This window comes from Homo sapiens, chromosome 1 (genome assembly GCF_000001405.40).
Source record: "Homo sapiens chromosome 1, GRCh38.p14 Primary Assembly".
In the NCBI taxonomy this organism is placed as follows: Eukaryota; Metazoa; Chordata; class Mammalia; order Primates; family Hominidae; genus Homo; species Homo sapiens.
Window position 1 is genome coordinate 99,422,559 of NC_000001.11, and position 15,726 is coordinate 99,438,284.

At 36.9% G+C, this 15,726-nt stretch overlaps 1 long non-coding RNA gene across 1 annotated transcript; it reads right to left on the reverse strand.

Moving 5' to 3' along the window:
- Positions 1-2,611: 2,611 nt before the first annotated feature.
- On the reverse strand, positions 2,612-14,732 carry LOC107985093 (uncharacterized). The gene is made up of 3 exons (XR_001738163.2): positions 14,616-14,732; positions 6,902-7,000; positions 2,612-3,643 (listed from the first exon to the last, which is right to left on the reverse strand). It is a non-coding gene; the product is annotated as an uncharacterized LOC107985093 (long non-coding RNA).
- Between the last annotated feature and the right edge of the window lie 994 nt (positions 14,733-15,726).

Genomic DNA, 15,726 nt, shown 5'->3' on the forward strand with positions numbered 1-15,726 from the left:
TTATACAAAAATCAATTCAAGATGGATCAAATACTTAAATCTAAGACCTGAAACCATAAAAATTCTAGAAGACAACATCAGAAAACCCTTCTAGAATTGGCTTAGGCAAAGACTTCATGACCACACACCCAAAAGCAAATGCAACAAAAACCAAGATAAACACATGGGACTTAATTAAACTAAAAACCATCTGCACAGCAAAAGAAATAATCAGCAGAATTAACAGACAACCCACAGAGTGGGAGAAAATCATCACAATCTATATATCTGACAAAGGACTAATATCCAGAATCTACAAAGAACTCAAATCAGCAAGAAAAAACAAACAATCCCATCAAAAAGTGGGCTAAGGACATGAATAGACAATTGTCAAAAAAGATATACAAATGGTCAACAAGCATATGGAAAAATGCTCAACATCACTAACCGATAGTGGGGAAATGCAAATCAAAACCACAATGCAATGCCACCTCACTCCTGCAAGAATGGCCACAATCAAAAAATCATAAATGTTAGCATGGATGTGGCAAAAAGGGAATACTTTTACACTGTTGGTGTAAATGTAAACTAGTACAACCACTATGGAAAACAATGCAGACATTCCTTAAAGAACTAAAAGTAGATCTACCATTTGCTCCAGCAATCCCACTACTAGGTAACTACCCAGAGGAAAAGAAGTCATTATTACATGAAAAAGATACTCGCACAAGCATGTTTATAGCAGCATAATTTGCAATTGCAAAAATATGGAACCAGCCCAAATCCCCATCAATCAACAAGTGTCTGAAGAAAATGTGGTGTGTATACACACACACACACATATATACATATATATATATATATATACACACACACACACACACACACACACACCATGGAACATAAAATATGACTCAGCCCCAAAAAGGAAAAAAATAATGGCTTTTGACATCCAGCAACCTGGATGGAATTGGAGACTATTATTCTAAGTGAAGTAACTCAGGAATGAAAAAACAAACATCATATGTTCACACTCATAAGTGGGAGCTAAGTTATGAGGATGCAAAGACATAAGAATGATACAATGGACTTTGGCAACTCAGGGGAAAGGGTGGGAGGCAGATGAGGGACAAAAGACTACACATTGGGTACAGTGCACACTGCTTGGGTGATGGTGCACCAAAATCTCAGAAATCATGACTGAAGAACTTATTAATGTAATCAAACACCACTTGTTCCCCAAAAACCTATTGAAATAAAAAATTAATTTTAAAAAATAAAAAAGAAGAAAAAAGATGTTAGCAACCATCTTCTTAGAATCCCATAATCTACTTGTACCTACACTAATACATTAATAATACCTACCATTCATTATTTACTGTATATCAGGCACCATAATAACTACTTTATAGAGCTCATCTCATGTAATCCTTAAATCAGCCTTAAGTGTGGGTACAATCAATATCCCAGCTCTAGATTATGTGACAGTCATGGTAAGGTTGAGTAAATAATACAAGATTCCATAATTAGTGAACAAAGAAGTCTGGGTTTGAACCTAGCAAAGCGGTCAAGTTTGGGTTGAGATTTACCTTGGTAGGGATGGATAGTATTTACAGGGACTTGGCATGGAAGTAAAGTTACTTCCAATCCATGAGCCATGCCTATGAAGAGAAGTGATAAGATCTGGTACAGTGGAGAGATCTTATAAATACGTGTTTACAGTGCTTTATAGTGTACAAATCACCCCCACACATTGCCTCACTGTGAAGCCTCACAACAATCATATGAGGTAAGATAGGACAGGCCTTGTTAACTCCATCCACAGACGAAGAACAGGCTCCTGGAACTTAGGCTACTTGTTTGAAGTTACATTTGTCAAGTACTGGCAGGGCTCAGAGTCTTTTGTCTCCAAAACCATGACATTTCTACTAAAACATACTTCTTAAATAGACACCCATGAATAAATAGGATAGGATAAGTCAGACATTCATAGTGTACATATGCATTCAGCTCTGGAAAAAAAATACCTTACTGATTAGTCTGAAGAGAAATTTCAGGGCTCATTGCTAATTTTCAGCTGACCTGGAGAAATGTAGCATGCACAAATTCTCAGCCATAACTATTTAAGTTTTTCATGCAACTCCCAGGAAAGAAGCCTGAGCTCCCCACTCTAGGAAAGTGCTGACTTCAGCCCTGCAAGTAATAAGAAATGCCTAAGGGATGCTACTCTGACACAGAAATCAAAGGGGCCAAGGCTGGCTAGCACACTGAGGCACAGGACCTAAGAGCCATTAGGACAATTTATGATGCAGCCTCATTTCTGACAACCTCTCCAGAGGTGATGGATACTTAAGTATGGTACCTGTAGACAAAAAGCCAATTTAAATGAAGTGGTATATTCCTGATCTATGATGGCTTGGTAGAGTCCAAATATAAAATATGGCTGTGCCATTGATAGCTGGTTTTTCCCTTCCACATTTTATTTCCAACCAAACAGATTTTTCCACGTGCACATCTCAAGTTACATTTTAGGAATGAAAGAAAGATAAAGAAATGGGGGAGAGAAAACCTTTGAAGAAACTGCAAAAGAATTTTTCATGCAGCTATAAATAAAAAGATCAATTTTTAATAACTAAAAAGAAAGATGAATAAAAAAGTAATGAATCTAGGTTATCTTCTAATTAGTAAAAGATGAAAACTTTCACTTACATATGGAAGGGCCAGCTGATTCTCTAGTTTTATAACCAAGACTTCTTGAAAATGGGAAAAGCAGGTGTGAAAAAGCCGCAATTCTACATTTAAATGACACACAGATGCCACTAAAGCAGTGGCAGAAAGCTGGTTTTGAGGTGAATGACATCAGAAACTTCAACTCTGTGTATCCCTGGGGCACCACTGAGCATCCGTCAATATACTGAGCATTCCTTAGGAGAAGTTTTTCCACACTCTACAAGAAGAGATTTCGCCAGCCCCTCATATTTATCTTACACCTGTGTCTTCAAGTTAATTTAGGATGAGATACATAAAATTGATGGGGAAAAGGTCTATAAGGCGTGACAGGACTGAATTATGAGGTTGAACCGCCACACATTTTATTGGTTGGTAAACCAGGGCTTGTAATGTGGGCAATCACCTAGACACCTAAAAATGCAAGAGTCACCACTGATGGTCCATGAAAACATTTGGTAGACAGTGATATCCAAAAACTTTATATTGGTTGAAGGATGCATTCAGCTATGAATAACAGAAACTACCCCTCACCTCCCAAAAAATGTAACAGTGGCTTAAACAAATTTGGGTATCTTTTGCATACATAACAAGAGGTTCTGATCAGGAAATCTAGGGCTAATTTAGCAACTCTACGATGCCATTGGGGAACGAGGCTCATTCCAGTCTTCTATTTCATTGTCCTCATGTTTGCTTTTGCTTGTTAGCTCATTCTCATAACATGGCTGCTTTACAACCTGCATTGTGTTCGTGTCCTAGAGCAGGGAAGAGGTGAACACTGAAGGGTGAAAGGCATATGCAAGCTGAGTTCCTTCCTCTTTTAAATTCCATTTTTAGGAATCTCACCAAGTAAATTCTCATTTCATCCCATTGGCCATCCTGACAGTGAAGAATGCTGGGCAGTATAATCCTTTTGTTTTAGACAAAGTATGACAACCTGTGCAAAATAAACAACAAAAAAAAAAGGGAAGGGAGGCTATGAATACTGGGAAGGCAACTTGCAGTTTTGCCACAGAACTGAAGAGAAATGCCGTGGCCGCTGCTCAATGTCAACTCCAAAAGTTAGGAACAGACCTCACACATTCAGACGTTTTTCCCTTCATTAATCTATTTTCACTTTAATATCTATAAATTTATCACCATCTTTGTATTTTCAATCTGTAACACAGGTTGTATCCTGCTCCATAAAATAACAAAATTCAATTCAACCCTCCTTTATCAGGGCTTTATATTTACCAGCACTAGTTTTGCAAATATAAGAAGTGTGTATCTAGCATTTATCTAGTAGTTACTGTATTCTGGGAACTATAGATATCATCTTAGGTAAGTCTTAAAACATTCTCATTAGGTATTATGTTAATTTTGTCTGTTTTGTTGACTATTGTATCCCAAAGCACCTATAACAGTGTCTAGCACCTATAACAGTGTCTGGCACCTAGTAATGTACCACTAAATCTTTGTGGAGTAAATGAATCCCCATTTTGCAAACTGGAAATTTGAAGCATAAAGAAGCATAAATTGTATAACATCTAAATTTAGTAAATGGCAGCACCAGACACTTGAAGTCTAAGTCCAGAACTTATATCTTTATAATTATTACAGCTGATCTCTAGTAGGAATAAGCAATTTTATAGCAGCAAGGACCATGGTTTACCTGTCAATCAGATATCTTCAGCCTTTAATACAGTCCCTGACGTGTTTTATGTGCCAATAAATACTCTTAATAAATTAATGATAGGCATAGAGGCAGAGAATGACCAAGAGGCTTACAAATCCCAATTTAACATCAGCTGGGACAATATGATGGGTTTGGCAAAGCCATAAAAATTATTTCAAATATTTAAGCAACCTAATCTTAGAAATCTCCAGGGAGAACATTCTTGAGTCTCTTTAAATAAAGCTTTCTCTTGCTATATTTTGAAATCTTACTTCCAAATAAAACAAAACAAAAACCTTAAGTAGAATGATTGAAGGAACAGAAAATACTATTTGAGCTACACATTTTAAAACAAAGTTGTCACTGTTTCAGGCCTTGACATTTGCTGTTTCTTCCACCTGGAATTTTCTTCCACCAGATACATGTATGACTTGTTCCCTAACTTTGGTTAGATGTCCACTCAAATCTCATATCCTTAGAGATACTATCCCTGACCCCTTTGTCTAAAATGGTCCCCCTCCGCTTTCCATTCACTTATCTTGATTTATTTTTCCTCATAACACGTTGTGATACTACCAGACAGTATATTTTATATTCATTTGTGTGCTGCCTTCTTCCCCAGTAGACAGTAAGATTCCTAGGAATAGTGGCTGTTCTTCATTTGGTTACCCAGATTTGGTTTCCCAGAACTTAAAATAGTATATAATACATTGAATAAGTGAATCAACTTCATTGATTCAAGGATAACAGAAAAATAAGCTGGCAGAAATCAGTACAATGTACTCAGTAGAAAGTGACTAAAGCCATATACAAAGATGAATGAGACAGATCAGCATCCATACTAATATAAACATTAGTTACATCAACTAAAAAATTAATATATTTTGGTTATCTTAAAATGAGTGCCTTGTGTGTGCCTTTTCCTCCTGTGGAGAAACATGTTTAGGTAGTCCTGAATATTATCCTTGTGGGTGCAATGGAACAGTGTGCTTTATGTAATCAGTTAACAAATTTAAGAAACTTTCAAATGCTGTCTAAAAGAAACAATCTTAGGATACCTTAATTGGTATTACTGGCAGTTTTAGATATAGTCCTGAAAAATCATAATCATAAACTATATCAATAAACACAATGAGGAGAGAAAATAATGCTATGACCATTCTGCCTTTAAGCAATAAAAGTTTAATAATATACCAATCACTTATTCCCTAACTGTACAGAAGAGAATATAAGTATGAAATTGTATTGAAAGTGTTCAATTTCAAGAAATTGAACTTTTATAAGTAGATATAAGCAAGCACTTACTGATTATAAGGGAACTATATTATTACCAGGATGGTGGTTGAATCGCCAGTCCCAGAAATATTTTAAATAAGGTTTTTGATTCCCTTTGTTAGGAAAATCTAGATATAGATACCTCATACTCTGAGAATGAACCATATGACCTCTTCAGATGCTGTTATGGACAGAATTGTGTCCCCCTAAAAGTATAAATGTATATGTTGAATTTCTCATCTTTAACGTGAATGCATTCAGATTAAGAAGGTAATTAAGGTTAAATGCAGTCATAAAGTTGGGATCCTAATCTGGTAGAGTTAGTGTCCTTATAAGAAGAGATATCAGAGAGCTCTCTCTCTCCTTCCCTCTCTCCTTCTCTCCCTCTCTCCCTCCCTCTCTCTCTCTCCCTCTCCCTCTCTCCCTCTCTCTCTCCACCACATGAAGAGGACATAGTGAGAAGGCAGCTGTCAGCAAGCCAGGAGGAGAGCCCTCCCCAGGAACCAAACCGGCCTGTACCTTGATCATGTACTTCCCAAACTTCAGAATTCTGAGAAGTAAGTATTTTTTATTTAAGCCAACCTATGACTACCCAAATAGCCTATAATATTTTATTATGGCATCCCAAGATGACTAATACAAATGCCACATAAATACAACCTAAATAAATACTGAAAGAAATACCCCACACACCCAGTCCACATGAAAAATCTCAATGCAATGTTATAAAATATTACACAAATTATACATCTGTGTCCAAATATCCAAGGGCTTTTAAGAAATCCTAGGGTATAATGAAATGTTTGAAGAAAATACTAATTATTAAATGCATTAGTTAGCTCTGCTGCATAACAAACAAGCCCCAATACTAAATGGCTTCAAACAAAAGCACATATTAGGAGTCATCAGGGTAATTCTTGGATTCTTGTTAGATCCATTCATGCATCCGAATGAGCCGTGGCTCTAGAAGACAGCTCTTCTGGTCTTGGGTGGACTGTCTCACACATTTAAGGATCATCTAACTCTAGGCTGGCTTCTACATGGAATAATAGGGCTTTCTTCCACATAGTCTCTTATCCTTCACAAGTTGGCCTAGGCTTATTCACATGGCAGTGGCATGGTTTCAAGAGAAAAAGCAGAAGCATTCATGACTGCCTAAAGCCTAAGCTCAAAAGTGGCATCTTAGCACTTCTATCACATTCTACTGACCAAAACAAGGCACAAGGCTTAGCCCAGATTAGGGGAGTCAGGCAATAGACTTACCTCTTGATGGAAGAATATGCAAGGTCACTTTGCAAAGGGGATGAATACAGGGAAGCCATTAATTTTGGACTTCAATGCCATTGATTTACATTAGAAAACCTAAAAAAGCAATTTACAAAATGAATGTATGCATGGAAATGGAGGTAGGAGGGGTGGCCCATATGGGGATAAATTAGGGCTGACATTTCTTAGGCATAATTATCATAATTTAAGTAGTAGTTATACATACAGAGATGTGGGAGTACAGAGATTCTTCTAATTTTCCTAATGAAAGAAAATTCACTTCTTTAAAGAACATTTGAAAGAATTTAAAGAGAAAGATTTTAATTACATAACCTTAACATGAAGATATTCATTGTCTGAAGTAAATCAATTCATGTTGTGCTAAAATCTGTGAGTTTCATTTTTCCTTTCCTGTTGTATGAATATTTCTTTGTAATAATTCCCTTTGTACAGCACAATAACTACTGAGCCCAGTCTGCCAATCCTCTCTGAGTAGGAGGCTGTCAAATGGTACATGAGAGTCAGGCAAAATGCAACCATCTTTCTACATCGTGACACTAAACAATCAAACCAAAAGCTTTTAGTAACATGGAGATAATAAGTGAGTTTTAGGCCTAAGTGTACAGAACAGAACTTTCATGATTACAGCATAGCAGAGGCAAAAGTCAAAGAAAGGCAAGCAGACATCATTTTCTTTTAAACCTTCAACATAAGTTTATTTTTATTTGACAATTGTTAAATAGAATTAAAAAGTCACATTAATGTTCTTTGTAAGGAGCTTGTTTTTTTGCTTTTAAGTTTAGTAGGAAGAATAAATACGGAATTTAACAAAGCAAAATTTCTATTAAAAACAAAATTATGATTAGTGTGTGCCTCATGTGTTCATGCATATTCAAGTATAAAAAAAAACCCTTATTTTCTATAATTAAACATAATTTCTACTTTGTGTCCTAACTTTTCCAGGGAGGTAAAAACTTCATGTTAGCCAACTTAGTGGCCCCTCCATTTTTCCTCTGAGTTGTATATAAGCTCCAGGGACCTTACGTAGTGCCAAGGTATTGGGGGCACAGAAGGGGATGTGGCCTTGTTGTCAGCAGCTATGAACCCTGGAATCCACAGAGATATCCAGTAGGCCCTTGGGCCTCAGTCATTGGTTCTTGTATTGCACTAGCTTTGCTTGGTTTCTGTCACAAGACCCCTCAGGTCCAGCAACAACCTCCATGACTTCCGTGTTCCTGTTCGGAGCAAAGGAATTGTTCATTTTTCTTGCCACAGAGTATGGAAATCCTAGCTGGTCTGTTTTAAGGTCTCGTGTGCTTAGATATACCACTCAGCCAATTCAGTTTTGGGGGGTCTTGCCATTGCTCAGATTCTTAACTAGGAAAGGAGAGAGTGTCTTTTCTTTTTTGGGATGTACCCCCAACCCCAGGCTATCTGGGTTGGGTTTGCTTTGGTTTTCCTGCCTCTGGGCTGGGGAGGTATCTATCATGGAAGTAAGATAAAGGACTTTCCACCCTGAACTACTGATATCCACATTCTTAACACTTCTCCTGACTCTTTTTCATCTCACAGGCCCAACAAACCTTCTCTCCAGGGTATGTGGGGTAGGAGGGTTGTTCTTTCTCATACAGTATTTTCTTCTACATCTTTCATCAAAATTATGAGTAATTTTTGTTTCTCTAAGGAAGGCAAGTGGATATGTTACATTTAATTTGGGACTTAGTGGGAAAAAAATACAGTTGGCTTCTTTACAACCAGCTCTGGACTTCCTCCCATGTTTAATTCTATTATAACTATCCTTCATAGTATTTCACTGTTTGCTATTACTTAATAAAAATTAGAAAATCATTTTATTTGTAAATAGACTTAAACGTAGTTCTCAAAGGAGCAACATTCAGAAAAAGACTTGTTTATTTTTTTTCTACTTTCTGCTCTGTGTTTTCTCCATGAAACTGCCCAGCTGCTTGAAAGGAGGAAAGGTCAAAGAGGAAAAGCAAATGTAAAGGGAAAAATATTCATTCATAATTTTAATTGTACCCTTCCACACCAACAATGATAATCACGTTTGCATTACACATAATTTTTTTTTGTGGGGGGGGAAATATGTGGTTTTCTTTGACAGCACAATCAGAATTACATTATGCCAGACTCATCACAAACGTAGGTCAAAAACAGTTCAATTTCCTGCAATAGTTGGTAGTCAACTCTAAAACAAGATGGTGAGAGGAGACAGAGGATTTTTTGAGGTTTAGGGGGAAAAGAGCTGACCATTTTAAGGTGAGATGTGAACCTCTTTCTTTGTTTAATTCTGGTATACTTATTTTTACTGCTGCTTAACTGTCTGTTATTTAATAAAAGTTAGAACATCATTCTACTTATAAACAGACTTGTAAACAAAGTCCATCTCTTGGTCAGCCATCTATTCAGTTAGTTTATAAATTTGTCTGAGGTGAACAAACACTCTTTACTTCTTCCCCACTAGGACCACACAACAAATACCACAAACAAGACTGCTCTGGAAACACTTCCCACAGACTGTGTGAGAATGTGTGTATGGGGTTGTGTTTCTGTATGTCAATCTCCACTTCAAAACCAAATTGAATTTCTTAATTACTGTGGCTTATGCAAATAAAATCCTAAGTTTCCTGGGGGTTCAGTCTTATTTTTGAGACCAATGAGTACTCAAGATTGATAAATATGAGTGTTGTCAATGCTTTTTCTCATTTTTGTTGATTTGCATAATTATATCTTATTCTGGCATCCCCTGAAAGCAGAGGCTGAGACAATGTCATTTTGAGTGAAAGTAGTTTATTTGAGAGAAAAATGTGGGAAGCAGAAGAGAGTAGGGAGAGTGACATATGGAAAGGCAATAAAGTGTGCCTTATTTAGTCAGTTACCACTTAGGACCACTGGGGTTCAAATCTTGGTGGGGACCCTCTGAGAAACCGTGTGGTACATGCCTTAGATTTATCTTCCTGAAGGACTAGGAGGCTTGACGTTTGCCTCAGAGGATGTTAACTTCTCTCTCACTTCCCTCCTGTGCCTCTTCACAGGAGCCAAGTGTCTACCATGGCTTAGGGAACTCATAGAGATGCTCATAATGTACAACTAAGGCCGGTGCCGACAATGTGCACAGTACTGTGGACATTTGATTGACTGAATTCTCTGAAGCTGAGTTTTCTCTTCACACAAATTGAGATAATATTCGCCTTGCTTTTCTTTCAGGATTTCTTCAGTTGTATTAATTCAATTAATCCTTGCCACACATTGTGTCATAGGAAAGTATTCATCCCCATTTCATAGGTGAGAAATTGGAGGTTCTGAGAGAAAAAGTAGTTTTCTGGGTCTTCAAACCTCGTCAATGGTATTCCCTCAATATACCAAGCTGCTTCTATTGTAGGAATAGATATGAAATTTAAAAATGCCTTTGAAATTTGTAAATACCTTTGGATTAAGCCATAGTGATCAAACTATAAAATCCACCCCGTAATTTTCAGACCTCAGCAATACAAAGAGGACACCTTAGTCAGAACTCTTTTGGCTGCGTCTGACAAAAATCCGAATTAGGCAAAGAGGAATTTTTTAACTCTGATAACCAAAGGGCTGATGGAGAGCCCTCAAGTGACTCTTCTGTTTCTGTTTCTTGGTTTCATTAGCATCTGCTAAGAACTAGCTTCTTCTTCAGGATAGGGCGCATTTCCATCCATCAGTGCCAGAGTTTCCAATATCTATTATCAAAGGGAGCCTGTAGCCTATCTCTCCAATCCAAAATTATAAAATCCCAGGAAAGAGCTCTGCTTGGCCCAGCTTCAGTCAGACACACACCTTTAAAGAGGTCATTAATACCAGAGAATCAACATCTGCTTGAACTTTCAGGCCTTTGGACGGTGGGAGGACTCAGAGTAGAAGCATTTCTTGTAAAAGTTAGAAAATGAAACTTTGTACAAATAAAGCAATTAGTATCTATCTATGCCCAAGGAGAAAATAATGTGATAGCTACAGAAGACTTAGAAAGTATTAATATTCACTAAACAGAAAAGCTTAAATCCTTTGACGTTTTTCTTTTTTTGTTCCTAAGTAAATTTGACCAAATTGGACAACCTGCTCTGATATTCTGACACCATTTAGGCATAGTCATCTTCTTAATTAAGAAAAGAAACCCCTACAGAATTGAGATATAAAATATTTTTCTGTTAAGTATTGGTTATGTATTGTCTTTTAAGGTCTATGCTATTGCTATGAATGTCCCTTGGGTGAGCTACATGAAAATCAACATCAAGAAAAGCCTAAAGTAAAGAAGGAGAAGATCTGTACTTTGGAAGATGATATGGCTTTGGAGAAAACTGGAAATACAGTAATAAAATTAAGAATCCAATGAATGGGCTTAATAATAAATTACACATAACAGAAGAGAAAATTAGTGAACTACAAAACAGTTCAGAAGAACAAACCGAGAGGGAGTGTGAAACAAAAAAGATGGAAAAATAATGGAGAGGGTAAGAAATGTAAAGAATTCACAAAAAGGCCAAATACATGTAACTGAAGTTGCAAAAGGACAGGAGAGAGTGTAGAGGTAAAAATTCTTTTAAAAACCTAATGGCACCCTTTCCTTCCATCCTCTCTTCACCTGTTATCTTTTTTTCCATTTCCATCTTCAGATTCTTCCCCAGCCCTTCCTGTCCCACCTACACTTCCCAAACTGGCAGGGTCAGCATGGTGGCTAAGAGTACAGGGCAGTTAAGTAGGTGATAGGAAGCCACATGGATTATTTTAAAAATCAGTAGAGTGGGCCGGGAGTGGTGGCTCACACGCGTAATCCCAGCACTTTGGGAGGCCGAGGCAGGCGGATCACGAGGTCAGGAGATCGAGACCATCCTGGCTAACACAGTGAAACCTCGTCTCTACTAAAAATACAAAAAATTAGCTGGGCATGGTGGCTGGCACCTGTAGTCCCAGCTACTTGGGAGGCTGAGGCAGGAGAATGGCATGAACCCGGGAGATGGAGCTTGTAGTGAGCCAAGATTGTGCCACTGCACTCCAGCCTGGGCGACAGAGCAACATTCCATCTCAAAAAAAAAAAAATTCAGTAGAGTGCCTTCCTCAAGAAACTTTTCCTTTTATTTATTAAGTGGAAAAAATACCAAGAAAATCGTGTGTGTGTGTGTGTGTGTGTGTGTGTGTGTGTATATCTATAGTTTGGTTATCTTACAAGAGACACGCTTTTAAAATGAGGACACAGGAAACATTAAAAGAATATTATACACACACACACTTCACATAAAACTCAGTAAAAGAAATGTGATATAGCAAACTGATACCAGATACAGTAGACTAATAATTCAACAGAAAGGTATGGCAGTTCTATGTGTGTATGCTCTTAATAACATGCACTAAAAATAGAGCCAAAATTGGAAAAACTAAGAGGAGAAATATGAAAATCCAAGAAAATATTTGGATTTAACTCAACTTAGAAAATGATAGAGGAGGCCAAGGGTGGTGGCTCATGCCTGTAATTGCAGCACTTTGGGAGGCCGAGGTGGGTGGATCACTTGAGGTCAGGAGTTCAAGACCAGCCTGGCCAACATGGTGAAATCTCATCTCTATTAAAAATTCAAAAATTAGCTGAGCTTGGCGGCACGCGCCTGTAATAACAGCTACCCAGGAGACTGAGGCAGGAGAATCACTTGAACCTAGGAGACAGAGGTTGCAGTGAGCCAAGATTGCGCTACTGCACTCCAGCCTGGGCGACAGAGTGAGACTCCATCTCAAAAAAAAAAAAAAAAAAGAAAATGATAGAAGAAAAATAATCAGTGGAGGTATTTGCAAATATTTGAACACCACTAAGTACAAAAGCACCCTCACTGTTATACATTATACATAAAAAATACCTAACTACTTCAAAATACACATTCTTCTCAAGTTTACAAGGAATATTTACCAAAATAAGCCATATGCTGGCCATAAAACAAACCACATTTCTAAAAATGAAAATTATATAGTATGTTCTTTCAACATCAGAAATCAAGTAGGAAATTGATAACAGAAAGTAATTAGAGGCTGCTGGGTGGGGTGCTGGAGCCTGTGCCTGGTAAATGGTTCCAGGACAAGAGAAAAGAAAGGTATGTCAGACAAAGAAATAAATGGCATGTCAGGTTTTGCAAGAAGAGAGGGAAGAGCCAGCTACCATAGTTGCTTCCTGTGATGTCCAATGGCAGAGGCCAAAGAGAGTCCTGGGGCACCCTAGAGGGAAAGTGTTCTGGCATGGAGGATGACATAGGTTACCTTAAATATGGCACCAGTTGTGGTTGAAATTACCTTGTTTTTCTCTTTTCTTTCTTTTTTTTTTTTTTTAATCTATTGTCTCTTACTTGCCCTTCTATGTAATGGAAGCCCAGTAAGGCCAGAGACTTTATCTAGCTAATTCCCTGTAACCCTGGCACCTTGGACATACAGGTATTCAAGTATTTGTTCCCTGAAATAATACTCTGAATTAACCTGCTCACATAAGAAAAATAACACCAGCTGGGGAGCACTGGGACTGACAGCTAAATGTTTGTTAGACATTTACTATGGGCCACGTTCTTGCTGTGCTCCTTCTCCCTGTGGTTTTCAAAAACCAGTCACCTAACCTGAAGCCTCAAACTCTTCATCTGCAAAAATGAGTTGTGGCAGGTGCCTCTGAAGCAAAAATCCTGGGCTAGAAGGAGTGTCGTCATCTAAGGCAAAAAAGAAAAACAAAATCAAGACTAAGAGAGGAGGAATTAGAATGAGACTCATGTACCCTCCTTCCCCACTCCAGGGGAAGGAGAGACTGTTTGGGAATGCCCTCCCACTACTTCCAGGGCAGAGGCTGTGCAGAGGAGCCTTGGAGAATCTGCAGCCCACTGATGACTCTGCTTCAGTCAGTGTTTCTGACTTTCTGATGGAGAGGCCTCCCATTGATAAGATTTTTGTCACTGCAGCTAAATGGGGGCTTCAAATACAAATAAGTTTCAGTTACAGAAAAAAAAATTCTTGCACGTTTAAGCTTATCCCTTCTACGGTATTATCTGTGAGAATTATAGACCAACCATAAGGCACTCAACATTTAGTTGTACATGAGAATTTTCACTTCACTCAAAGCTTGTGAGGTTTTATCATTAACGTTTTAATTTGGTGGCTATAGTGGAAAAGAACAAAGCTAACGAGAACCAATGAACACTGCCTTTCCTGGGATTGTCACTTCAGTAGGTTGTGAGTTCCTCTAGGGCAAGGGCAGGGTCCATACATTTCCTTTGAATCCCTCACGTAGTCACTAGCATGCACAGTACTTGTATCTAGCACATGCTCAATAAATGTGGAATGAACGCATCATGAACAAAATATAGACTAATGACTTTGAGTGCTGATTCTTTTTGTCAATAGTATAATATTTAAGATATTTATGTAACAAATATTGAAACAGTTGTCAAAAATATAACAGAGCATAAATAAAATTAGAGAGTTTCAAAGTGACAACTAAACCGTGTTTTTGGATATCAAGCAATATATTTCTACATAACTCACAATCAAAGAAATATTAAAATAGAAAGTAGAAACTATTTTGAACTAAATGCAAATTAAAATACTATTGTAAAATGCAGCTAAAGTTATACTTGAAAAGATGTTTATAGGCTAAATGAATAGAAAAAAATAAAAGTATTAAAAATTAGCCGGGTGTGGTGGCATGTACCTGAAATACCAGCTACTCGGGAGGCTGAGGGAAGAGAATCACTTGAACCCAGAAGGCGGAGGTTGCAGTGAGCCAAGATCACACCATTGCACTCCAGTTTGAGCCACAGAGCGTGACTCCATCTCAAAACAAAAAAAGTATTAAAATTAATGAACTAAGTATTCTTCACAATAAGCTAATAAAAGAACAGAATATTAAATGAAAAGAAATAATATCATAAGAGCCAAAATAAATAAAATAGAGAATTAACATATAAAAGGAAAAAAAAGCAACGCCAAAGATGAGTTTCTTGAAAAACCTAATAAACCCTGGCAAGATTGGTCAAAGAAAAAAGAGAGAAAATATAATTTCTAATAGCAGAAATGAAAATAGGGACTTGGCTATAGATCCCACAGACATTAAAAAGCTGATAAGGGGATATTATGAAGAAATTTGTCAATAAATTCAATAATTTTATGAAAATGGACAAGTTCTTTGAATAACACAATCCATAACAATAGATGGAGTTTATTCCAAGGATTCAAGACTGGATTAACATTTTAAAAGCAAAGGATTTTTGTTGACATTATTTATATTAAATTTAATAGAATAAGGAGGAAAAAGCATATAATCAACTTAATAGATACAGAGAATATACTTGATAAATAAACCCCACTCATAATAAAATTCTCTGAACAAACTACAAATAGAAAGAAACTTTCTAAATTTGGTAAGAATGTCAATGATAAATAATCTATAACATATGTGTATATAATATATATGTACATTTAACATTGTACTATGTTGAAATATAAATGCTTTCCATCTATAAAGATGTCCATTCTCACCATTACTATATAACATTCTACCAGAAATCCTAGCCAAACTACTAAGGCAATAAAAAGAAATAAACAAATAATAATTGAAAAGGAAGAAGAAAATCTATTATTATTTACAGATATTTTGTACACTAAAAATCCAAAGGGTCTCCAACAAATTATTATAATTACTAAATAACTTTCACAAGTCACAAAATCAACATTTAAAAATTAATTTCTATATACTAGCAATGAACAATTAGAAACTAAAATTTTTAAAAACAACATTATTTTCAGTAGCATCAAAACCTTTA